The 12,285-nt window shown below is 38.9% G+C and overlaps 1 long non-coding RNA gene across 6 annotated transcripts in view; it reads right to left on the bottom strand.

Moving 5' to 3' along the window:
• LOC101927995 (uncharacterized) overlaps positions 1-12,285 on the bottom strand; it is a 119,590-nt gene that overhangs the window by 65,575 nt on the left and 41,730 nt on the right. For 5 of the 6 annotated variants that reach the window (XR_001740628.2, XR_007095856.1, XR_001740627.2 and 2 more), the window contains one exon: positions 11,918-11,952. This is a non-coding gene — a long non-coding RNA (uncharacterized LOC101927995). Of the gene's footprint in view, positions 1-11,778; positions 11,953-12,285 lie in introns of those variants that run through there. The other variant, XR_427323.4, reaches the window with a different exon arrangement.

Below are 12,285 nucleotides of genomic sequence, written 5' to 3'. Positions count from 1 at the left end.
TTAGAAAGTATAATACAATGAGCTTTTTTTACCCATCACCTCACTTCAATAGTTGCTGAGATTTTGCCATATTTCTTCTCTCTTCCTACTTACTGAGTTTACATTGCTGAAGTATTTTAATGCCAATTCTAGACCTCCTGTCACTTCCTTACTACATAATTTAGTATGTATTATTTTAAAGTATGGACATTTTCTTAAATGAAAAAAACAAAATCTTGGTGGAAAGAGCTAGAAAAAATTCCTTGTTTCCTGATGAAAATCTGCCTTCTGTCTTTATAGAGTTCTTGAGTCAGAAAAATTAAACTGAGCTGGATAATATACACCGCATTGTCCTCCAGGAAAGTGTTTTACCAAATAGCAATTCCCCTCACTTTATCTTTGGCTCAAGTTTTTCTAAAAGAGAAAAGACTGTCTATATTTTAAATATATGTTCTGTTTAGCAGAGAGAGAGAGAGAATCAGTTAGGAATATGGTCCAACAAGTTTATCTAAACTTTTGCAATTGTTTGTAGCAAAACTCTTTGCCCAGTGAATTTGTTCTCATTCATTCTGTGCATCCACGTGCAGACTTCTGTGAACAGACAGTTCAAGAATTATGTGACAGGAGACATCTTTGGCATTAGAACATGGAGTCCTATAAATCTATCAGGGAAATCTATTGCCAAACAATTTAGCAGCTAGAAAATTTGTGTGGTTCAGGTAAGAATCAGCCCAAGGCTTTGGGCTGAAGTGCATGCCATCCAAAGGTCATTGAAAGCCCTGCAAAAATTAACAGGGGAACATAAAACTAAATACTTCATATTCTTACTTATACATGGGAGCTAAATGATACGAACTCAAGAACACAAAGAGGAGAACAGACACTGGGACCTACTTGAGGTTGGAGGGTGGGACAAAGGTGAGGGTCAAAAACTACCCACTGGGGACTATACTTGCTACCTGGATGATGAAATTATTTGTACACCAAACCCCAGTGACATGCAATTTACTCATGTAACAAACTTGCACTTGTACACCCTGAATTTAAAATGAAAGTTGAAAAGTAAAATAAATTAAAAATATAGTAGTTGCCTTTAGAAAACTTAAAAAAAAAAAAAAAATTAAGACCCTGCAAGGAGACAGCAGCTCTTCAGTGGGCTCCCTCAAGCAGCAGTTCCCTAATGCCCATTCTTGGACTGGAGCAGGGTTACCACACAGTGTTCACCAGCCTAAGGATTTCAATCTGGAGGAAAACAAGGACCATACTGGTGGTTTCTTATAAACCAATTTGTAGTCATCTGGGGAACGAATTCAAATGTCCTACTTTCTAAAAATAGTAGTGCTAATAAGTAGTGTTTGTAGGTTGGTTTTTCTTAATGTCTTTACTTAGTACAATTAAAATGTTGCCAATCTTATGCCAAAGCATCCAGTTCTTTAATTGTTAATTTTACCTTAGATTCCTAGACTGGTAACCCTAATGTAACAGATGTAATAGTTTTTAATATCTAGATTCTGTCAGCTCTAGCTCTGTGTCCTCAATCCACAAATATCCCTTGCATGTGAAATCTATTAACTTTTTGCCCCTGAGGATATCTCTTCAAGGAAATAATAACTAGCTCCTGGCTTCACTGGGGTCATGTGCAAATGAAAGCACAGGCTGCTCCCTGTAGCCTCAAGCTTGTTCTGGACTGGTAGATGATGAATCATTGCACTCCTCTTCATGTGCAGAAAGTAACACCTAAACATTTGACATAGGATCAGCATCTGCATCATGGATGCCTCATGACAAAAGGCCTCTCTCCTGCATCCTTCTAGACAATGACAAGAAAGAAAATGGAAAACAGTATACAAATAGGTAAAATCTTTTTCTTTAGATGAAAAAGTATTCTTTTTTTCATTAGAAAACAAGAACATTTTAGCATTCACCTAGTTTATTACAGCTACAAACATTTTTGAGCTTATATGTAGTGATCACAGTTAGCACAGGTTTTCTGCTTTCTGTTTCGTAGTTGCTATGATCTTATCCTTATTCGATTACAGGACAATTATAGGTCATATCAATCTTTTAAAACTAATGGATTTTAAAACATTTCATAAACAAATCCTGGTTTCTGAACGGCATTGCCTAGGATGTTTTTCCTTTTGTTTTAGTTTTCCTTCAAAATAGAAAGAAAATCTCTTTCTGTTTATTTCCTTCCTAAACAGAAGAAAATATAGCATAAGAAAGACATTCACTTGTAGTTTACATTGTCCTATAAAATACATGGTACTAAATTGTGGGCTATCACACTTGTTTATCTCAAAGTATTTCAAGCGATGAGTATCAAACTGGCTCCTTGATATATAAGTGTATGTATAGTCTCTGTGTGAGAGAGAGAGAAAAAAAAATGAAGAGATTTTTAGTCTTTGTCTTGTTTCTTTTGGATTCAAAAAGAAAAGAGAAAACAATATTATATCTCTGCTTTAATTTGTATATGTGTACAGAGAAAGCGCTTTGCATATATGTGAGGCTTGTTTCATGCAAAATAGCATTGACAAGGTGATCTTCATAGACAGAAGAGGGAAGTCAGGGAGACAGTCATCGAAATAGAATTGTATGCACATACTGTCACACATCCCCTCATGATAGAGACAGCACCAGTATCGGGGAGCAGAGAGCAACTGTGTGTAAACGTGCTTGAGGTCCTGTGAAAGGCAGGGCAGTAAAGTCTGTTTAGAGTATATGACTGCACTTGCTTCCTGTGGTCCAGAAGTGAAAGCAAATAATCTATTATAGGAGTCCTTATCCCTTCTGGGAAACAACATTTCTGGTCTGACCAAGAGATAAATAAATTTGAGGGCAGAAGCATGGAGAGGATGGGTCAGTTTTTGTGATAGAATTTCTGGCAAAGACTGCTAATTATTACAAGAAGCCTTTGTATTTTTTTGTGACAGACTGTCTCATTGCTCTAAATATTTTCTGTCCCTCTATCTTAGTTTAAGTTCTTGCAGAAGGATACCTTGAAGGAAGGATTCAAATGTAAGTAGTTTATTTGGGCAGTGATCACAGGAAATACCAATATGGGAAAGGAAAGCAAGACAGAAATAGGATAAAGGCCAAGAAAGAACATGCTATAAAGCGCATGACCAATGAGAGCAACTGGAACTCCCTCCAGTGTAAACCATGAACCTCAGAGCTATCCTGAGAGATGAGGGAGCTAATGTATTTATTGATTGAAGGCTGCTCGTAGGGGTGGTGGCTTGGGCATTAATTCCCTGGCATATTGGCCTGCTCTAAACATGGACAGGAAGGGCTTCATACTGTCAGCTGGAAGTAAATTGATGCCCACTGAAATAGCAAGAGCCAAGAGAATGCTCATGGTGGACTTACTTTATCTACTTTACCCTCTGTGTGAAAGGATTAGACAGTCATCCCTTGACTGTCTGGGGGATTAATTCCAGGACCCTTTGAAGGTACCAAAATCCTCAGATACTCAAGTCTCTGATACAGAATGGCCTAGTATTTGCTTGTAACGTATGCATACCTTCTCATATATTTTAAATTATCTCTAGATTGCTTTTATCTAATGCAATGGAAATGCTATGCAAATTGTTGCTATACTGTAATTTTTAATTTGTCTTATTTTTGTTGTATTGTTATTTAAAATTTTTTTTAAAATATTTTTGATCCACAGTTGGCTGCATCCATGGATGCAGAACCCGAGGATATACAGGGTGGACTGTATATCCTGCCCTACTGACTAAGCTTAGCTAGGTTACTTCCTGTAGGAGGATTATATTTCTCTGCTCCATTGACATTGAAGTGTCAGCAGAAGTGATGTATTTGACTTTCCAGCACAGCTTTAGGAGCCATCACCTACCTTCCTTTCTTTCTTTTTCTTTTTCCTTTCCTTTCCTTTCCTTTCCTTTCCTTTCCTTTCCTTTCCTTTCCTTTCCTTTCCTTTCCTTTCCTTTCCTTTCCTTTCCTTTCCTTTCCCTTCCTTTCCTTTCCCTTTCTTTCTTCCTTTCTTTCTCTTTCTTTCTTTCTTTATCTTTCTCTTTCTTTCTTTCTTTCTTTCTTTTTTCTTGTCTCTCTCTGTTCCCTCCCTCCCTCCCTCCCTCCCTCCCTCCCTCCCTTCCTTCCTTCCTTCCTTCTTTCCTCCCCTCCCCTCCCCTCCCCTCCCCTTCCCTTCTGTTTGAGATGAAGGTCTTGCTGGTTCACCAGGCTGGAATGCATTGGCTATTCACAGGCCCGGTTCTTGTGCACTATACCCTGAAACTCCTGGGCTTAAGTGATCCTCCTACTTCAACCCATGGTTACTTTTTTTTTTTTCCTTCTACTTTGTACCCAGCAACATCCTGGGTAAGAACTGCTCATTTAATCTGGGTCCTGAGATGAAAAAAATATGTAGCTAAGCCTCAGCATAGTGTAGAATTAGAAAGAAATAATATTGATGATTATATGCCCCAGAATATTTCAGGTTGTTTATTATAGCAGGATAGCTAGTCCATCCTGACAAATGCTTTGTTTCTAGAAATAAATTGTTGAGGGGAAAAGCAAATAAACAAATGTGGTATTGACTTCATGTTTGGGCAGATAATAGTGTGGAAACTGTCATGGATAGCATGCAATTTATGCAGTAGTGAAACATTTTGACAAAACCCTGTCAGTAATAATTTTGAGGGCAGATAATAAACCAAATGAGCTTGTTATCTTAGGTAAAGAAGTTGGAAAGCAGAGTATAAGCAGCCTGATATGCTATTGGCTGAATTTCATGATAAAGAGGTGAGCTCAGAAAAATAATTGGCTGGTTTGCAAGCAGAAGTAGAAAGGAAAAGAGAAAAAAGTCCAGATTTTCAGGACTTGCAGCACTGAAAACCTCTGGTTTATAATAACAGAAAGAATTAAGGACCCTTGTCCTCTAATTGTACTCTGAAACAACAATACCTGCCCTAACTGTCTTACTCAGGATTATTTTATGTGGAAAAGAAAACCTTTTTATTCTTTATTTTGCTTCATTTTATCTTTATTTTTTGAGACAGAGTCTCACTCTGTTGCTCAGGCTGGAATGCAGTGGCACGATCTCGGCTCACTATAACCTCTGCCTCCTGGGTTCAAGCAATTCTCCTGCCTCAGCCTCCCAAGTTTCTGGGATTACAGGCGCCCGCCATCATGCCCAGGTAATTTTTGTATTTTTAGTAGAGAGGGGATTTCACCATGTTGGCCAGGCTGGTCTTAAACTCCCTACCTCAAGTGATCTGCCCTCCTCCACCTCCCAAAGTGCTGGGATTACAGGCGTGAGCCACCGCACCCAGCCATTATTTTAAACCCACTGTCACTTCTGGTCTTTGTTATCTGCATGCACATTCAAGCTGATATGATGTAGTCAGAACACTCAGGGGTTTGTTTGCTCCAGAAAACTTTAACTGATGACTCTGGTGAGAATGGTCTGGGTTTCATCAACGCGCAGTCACCTGGGAGGGACTAGAGTTAGGAGATGGCACTGGGTGGAGAAGAAAAGCACAGATCTCCATGTTAGTGGATGCTGCACAGTGGTTTGTGGATGGGTTGGCAGGAGGAACAGGAGCAATAACCTGCCAGTTTAGCAGCTGATGGCCTGAAACATCGGCCTCTAGTTGTCTCTAGGTTTCCTTAGGAATGTCACATAATAGAGTTATTTGCCAAAAAGGGTTATTTGTCTGCCATTCAGTATGAGAGGTCCTTTAAGAGAGGGATCATTCTCTTAGCTATTTACAAAGGAATCCTTCCCATAAATATTTGTAGCAAAATATAAGATAATAACTATTGAGCTCATTTTTGCCATAATGGATCACTTCCTTCTGATCTTCCATCAACAGAGTTATCTTTAATGCATTCTACAGAATTCTGATAAAAACACAGGATCCCATGACAGGGAGAACATGGTGACACTTAGCTTCAAGTTGTTAACACAGAAAGGAATGCTTGTTCAGCACAGAAATGGGGCTGATTTAGGGCAGTTATGGATTTCTTTATTGATATTGATGTTCACCTCTCCCTTCCTGAACACACCTTCCAACAGTTGGGTTGACAGGGCAGCGAAAGGATTAATATTATTGTCCAAACATAAAATAAGCCTTCTTTCCTAGGGTACATTACATTTCCTAAGAATGATCATGTTTGGAAAAAAATAAAACCTAGATTAATCCCACAAAATAGAAATTTTATAATCAACATTTGCTGACTATTCAGCAGTCAGACTTTAAATGTTTAGATTCAATTTGGCAAAAAGTCAATGCCATGGGAAAAAGAGTGAGAAGACTACTTCTCAGAAATAAAAAGGCTTAAGAGACACAAGAACCAAATCTAAACTATTATCTTATTTGGATTATGATTCAAGCAAACCAACTGTAAAAATATATTTTTGAGACAGTCGGGTCAGTTTGACTATGGACTTAGAATTAGAAGATACCTGAGATGATAGTGGCATTGCTTCTTCATTTTATTACTTAAGTGCTGCTAACAAAGGAAAGCTCCTTGAGTGGAGGGTAGAATATTCAGCCCCTTTAGACAATCCATCATAGCCGGGCTCTGCAAAGTTTCCAGTGTCACCTATAACCATCATCACATTATGTGTTCCAGCCAAGGTGCTATACTTGAAATTCCTCAAACACACTCTCCTCTTTCAGAACTCAGTGTCTTAGCAAAAGCTGTTTCCTGGAGTTTGCCTGAAACCCTCTACCTGCCAAAACTGTCCTTGAAAATTGCCTTCCTGTATTCTTTCCACAGCAAATGTGGCAGCTTTTTATAGCACTTACACCATTAGATTGTATTTATTTCTTGAAACATCTGTCTTTTCCCAGTGTTCCCTGTATATCCCTCCAGCTGCCACCCAATCTGTCCATTTCCTTCAAAAAAGAGTGGTTTCTATTTACTGTCTATTTCTATTTCTATACTGTCTATTACTATTCTATTTCTATTTACTGTTTCTATTTCCTTTCTTCCCTTTACTCTGCTTACCACTTAATATGCTTCCCCACTCCCCTCTCCAATGAACTATCTGTCTAACTGTTCTCCAAAATTTCTAATCTTGCCAGAGCTCTGATTTCTTGATTTCTATGGATTCCTGTTTTAGTGACTGTCTCGCTTTAACATATTTTAACGTAGTCTCCCGCAAAAAAGCAGATGACAAACAAGGGCTTCTGCGCTGGGATTCCATTTTGGAAAAAGATATTCCAAAGAACATGAGTGGAGGACTTAGAAAACTGAAAAGCAGAGAAGGAGAAAAAGCCAAACCAACGGTGCAACCCTTGACCAAGAAAATCACCACTGTAGGCCACAGGACTCCATCTTGGTAGGAAGCCTCTAAGGAGTTATGAAAATGCACTTTAGAATGTTCTTCCTGAGATTCAGGACAGGGGCTACTTATCCATCTGTTTTTGTCTCTCACTTGTGAAGGGTTGCTCCAAGGATGGTGTATTAGTACATTTTCACACTGCTGATAAAGACATATGTGAGAGTGGGCAATTTACAAAGGAAAGGGGTTTAATGGAGAACTCACAGTTCCACATGGCTGGGGAGGCCTCACAATCATGGCGGAAGGCAAAGAGGAGCAAGTCACATCTTATTTGAATGGTGGCAGGCAAAGAGAGAGCTTGTACAGGTGAACTCCTGTTTTTTTATTTTTATTTTTATTTATTTATTTATTTATTTATTTTGAGATGGAGTTTTGCTCTTCTCACCCAGGCTGGAGTGCAATGACACCATCTCAGCTCACTGCAACCTCTGCCTCCTAGATTCAAGCCATTCTCCTGCCTCAGCCTCCCGAGTAGCTGGGATTATAGGTGCCCACCAGCATGCCCAGCTAATTTTTGTATTTTTATTAGAGACAGGGTTTCACAGTGTTGGCCAGGCTGGTCTCGAACTCCTGACCTGAGGTGATCCACCAGCCTTGGCCTCCCAAAGTGCTGGAATTACAGGCATAAGCCAACAGGCCCGACCCAAACTCCGGTTTTGAAAGCCATCAGATATCGTGAGGTACATCTTGTGAGACTTATCCACTATCATGAGAACAACACAGGAAAGGCCCACTGCCATGATTCAATTATCTCTCATCCAGTCCCTCTTACAACACATGAGAATTATGGAAGCTACAAGATGAGATTTGGTTGGGGACACAGAGCCAAACCACATCAGACAATTAGCAACATTGCACTTCCACATTTGCACATGTGGAAGTATATCTGAGTGAATTCCAACAATGTCCTTTTTGTTGTTGCCAGCTAATCCTTATGGCTAAAGTCCCCAAAGTTACTCTGTACAGTTATGACAAGATACTATCTGATTACATTTTAGCTCAGCTGGTTGTTCCAAAAAATGGCAGCTTTAAGAAAGTGTGACAGTACAATGTGAAGTAGGACACAAGAGATGTTCAATACTCCATTCTTTTTCTGGATCCTTTTCTTCTACTGGTGACTAGTCAAAGTTTGTAGAGAAACACAACATGTACTGTACATGTTCAAAAAGTCTACATAGATATGTTTCTTTACAGTGGGGACAATCTGTAGGCACTGCCTTAAACAAATTATTAAGATTAAAATCTCTAGAAATAAGACATATCAACTTCATCATGATGTACCAAGAAGGACACACCTCACTTATACAATAGTTTTGCCCCAAATGCATAACTTCAAACTCATCCTGAGAAAGTATTACAGAAACCCTCTTTCTTTTCAAGTGCTGGTTGCTTTTTCAGTGTAGAACCTGCAGGAAGGAACCTTGAAAACAGAGACATCAGCTAGGAAACTATTGTAAAATTCCAGGAAGGAGATCGAAGGGGATTGGACCAGAGTGGAAGCAGTGGAGGAGGAAGAAGGGATTGCATTCTGGAAAAATTTCAAAGATAGGTAGGGCCAATAGGATTTGCAGCAGATTTGATGTGTGGTGTGAAGGAAACAGAAGAAGTAAGGTTATTTTAGAAGTCTTTGGCATTGACAACAGGTGGAATGGGATGTCATTTTTTAAGATAGGAATGCTATGAGAGGGGCATGTTTAGTGGAAGACAGATGAGAATCCAAGTTTGTATTTAACATAGTGAACTTTAGATGCTTTTTAGTTAGATGTCAAAAATCAACTAGGCATTGGGAGAATGGTGCTCAAGAGAAAGGTAGGGGCTGGAGTAAGGAACTTGGAAGCTTTTAACATATAGATGGTATTTAAAGACATAAGGTTGTTGACAGCCCTGAATGACAAGGAGTGAGTACAGACAGAGAAGAGATACAAAGACTAAGATATGAGGCTCTCCGGCCTTGAGAAAGAAGAATTCATAAAAGAGACTAAGAAGGAAGAGTCAGCAAGGTAGAAAGATCCTCAAGATATGTAGTGTATCCTAAAAGTCAAGGGGGTAAAACATCGTTTCAAATAAAAGGCAATGACTAACTTTGTGTTGATTACCGCAGATAGGTTAAGTAAGGTGAGGACTAAGAACTACACATTGAAATTGGCAGCAAGAAAGTCCTTGATGACACTGACATGAGCGGTGTTCCTAGAGTGGTTGGCTTGAGAAGATGATTTGAGAGGAAAAGAGAACAAAGTTATGGGGGTAGCTGGTGGGGAAGAGAGCCAAGAAAAATTCTTGTTAAGACAGAAAAATAACATGTTTTTATGTCAATGGAAATGACCCGGTAGAGGGGAAAATTTGATGAGAAAAAAATTGATAAAACAAAAATCATGAGTAGGAAATGGGGATGTCATCTGGCAGAGGAGTTTGGTTTTAGATAGGCATGTCCAGCGGTTCTTTATTCTCAGTCTACATGTTCTCTCTGGTTAATTCCGGGGCACTAAAATCAAACTAAATGCCTCCATTGGACTGTGGTGAGCAGAAGGGCACCTACGTTGTATAAAAGCATCATTTTGTGGACAACTCAGCTCCAGCCAGTTGCTGACAGGTCAGGAGTAAGGACACAGCTTTGCCAGATCTACTTTGTCAAAAGAACCCTGGAACCCTGATTTTATGTGAGAGTTCCCAATTTTTAAATGTTCACAACTAACTCAGAATTAAATGAATAAATTTTTTAAATGCACCCTGAAGGCCAGAGCACATTAGCAGGTTGAATCAAATTGTGGTCTTTATCCTAGGAAATCACATCGAGGCTCACTATTTTAATTAACATCTCATTTTCCACACAGTAGCTGGAATGAGTTTTTAAAATACAAATCTGATTGTATCACTACCCTGCTAAAAAATCCTTAAGTGGCTTTCTCTTGCACACTAGATAAAGTTTAAGTTCTATAAAATAGCTTGTGCCATGATCATGCCAAAGCTAACTTTCCCAGCTTCAGCTCTTGCTGTTCTCCTTTTAGACTTGACACTCCAGCGATGGAACATTCCACAATTTCTCAGGTACGCCATGCCCATTATCGCTTCCTGGTCATGGCACATGGGACTTTCACTGCTTGAAAAATTTCTGTATTCCTTTTTTTCTGGTTCATTTCTACTAGGTCTTTAGATGTCAGCTTACACTTTTTTTTTTCTCTAACCTGCCTGGCCTGCTGCCCTCTCTCCATGCTACCTTATGCCAAGTCTTTGTTAAGAACCCTTCTCTATGCTCTCGTCACACCGTATACTTCCTCTAGTAGTGTAATTAAATAACTCAGTGTTCTATAATTACATGCACCTTCTTTGGAGATTACTGAGACTCTGAGACCTTTGGGGTTAGGAGTGACTACTATGAGGCAAGCATCAAATAAATAAGTGATGGAATTTGGTGCTCTTCATATCTTTACACCAGCAGTCCCTCTCGATTATTTCCTGCTATGTAGATGTCTACTGGCCCCTCAGATTCAACATGCTTCCTTCTCCATGGACCAGAGAACTTGAAGTCTCTCTCACACCTCACATCAGTCATCACCAGATTCTATTGAATATTTCTTGACTATCTCTTAAGTCTTGCTGCTGTTTTCTTTCCACTACCACTGTCTTAGGCAAGACTCTCTTTATTTCTCACTATTTCTGATTACTCAAAAATATATATCTGTGTCTATAATTCACTTATTTCTGTCTTCCAACTTATTCTCAACGCTGCTGGCAAACCCATTCCTGGTTTCTTCTGCTTTGAATGCTTCACTTTCTCCTCCTAGGCATTTGGGTATAGTTCAGATGCTTTAAGAGACATTTCTATCCATTCATAATCTACCCTACCCTACGTTTACGTTTTTTATCTCCTCCCATTTTCTCCCCTCACCACTTACACAAAATGCTCTAAAGATACCAAGCTTATGACAATATCCTAAACATAGTTTCCATGCTTTGTTCTAAATGTATTCACATATACTATTATTTCTGCCAAAATGGTGTTTTTATTTCTCCAGAAGGACTTTTATTCATCTTCAGAATTCAGTTCAAACATCCTCTCATCCAGAAATCCTTTATTTAATATTTTCCTCTAAGAGTTACTCACTTCCCCTGAGCTACCTTTGGTTCTTGTTTATATTTCTATTGTACTTACTTATATGTCTTTTTCTTCTTCTAAACCCTGAGGTCCTTAAGAACAGAGACTGAGCTTTACCTGTCTCTGATATTTCAGTGACCAGACCATCACCTAATGCATGGTAGTCATTTACAGACTTTGTTAGAATGAATGGATGAATAATGGTTATCCCTTGTCACACACAGCTTGAACTTGCCATTGATTCTAAGGGCACTGAATACCCCTGCCCTTTGTATTTACAGCACTTGCCAAAGCATTTAGTTTTTAACTTACAAAGAAATAATTAAACAGAAAGGATCCTGTTGCCTTGATCTTGAAATCAATAAGCATTTATCTTATCATGCCTTCTGCAGAGTAGCCAGGAAAATCTAAGTGAAATTGTGAGGACGTTGACATTGCCTTTGCTATCATCCCAGCTTCCCTTTTAGAGGTCATTTCTTCCCTTCTGAAATTGTTCGCTTTCTAACCTTCTTTTTATCCCCAACACTTACTGCATTTCCTCTTCTGGGACACTTCATTTTCTTGTCTGTAACAGAATCATAGAAATTTTAATCAGCAATAATTGTTAAAGTAAATTGAGATTCTTTTTTGAACGTTTGGTCTGGAAGGAATGAATCTACTTATGAGACCAAAGGAATAGAATGTTTGAAATTGAGTCTGTTCCAGAAACTATATAATATGTGTTCCGTGTAATCAGAGATGACTTGGCTTCACCCTTCTTTTTATAAATGAGAACGAGCTAAGTCCTCAGACACTGCTAAGCAGTTCTATAACAATCTACTGTCACTCACAAATTCCCATAAAGTGTTGGGCAGGTAAGTGTAAATAGTTTTTCTATCACATTTCCAGAGAGAACTGT

The sequence above is a fragment of the Homo sapiens genome, chromosome 3, assembly GCF_000001405.40.
Source record: "Homo sapiens chromosome 3, GRCh38.p14 Primary Assembly".
NCBI lineage: Eukaryota > Metazoa > Chordata > Mammalia > Primates > Hominidae > Homo > Homo sapiens.
The sequence above is the reverse complement of the archived record's forward strand: the minus strand, read 5'-3'. Positions and strand labels throughout refer to the sequence as shown.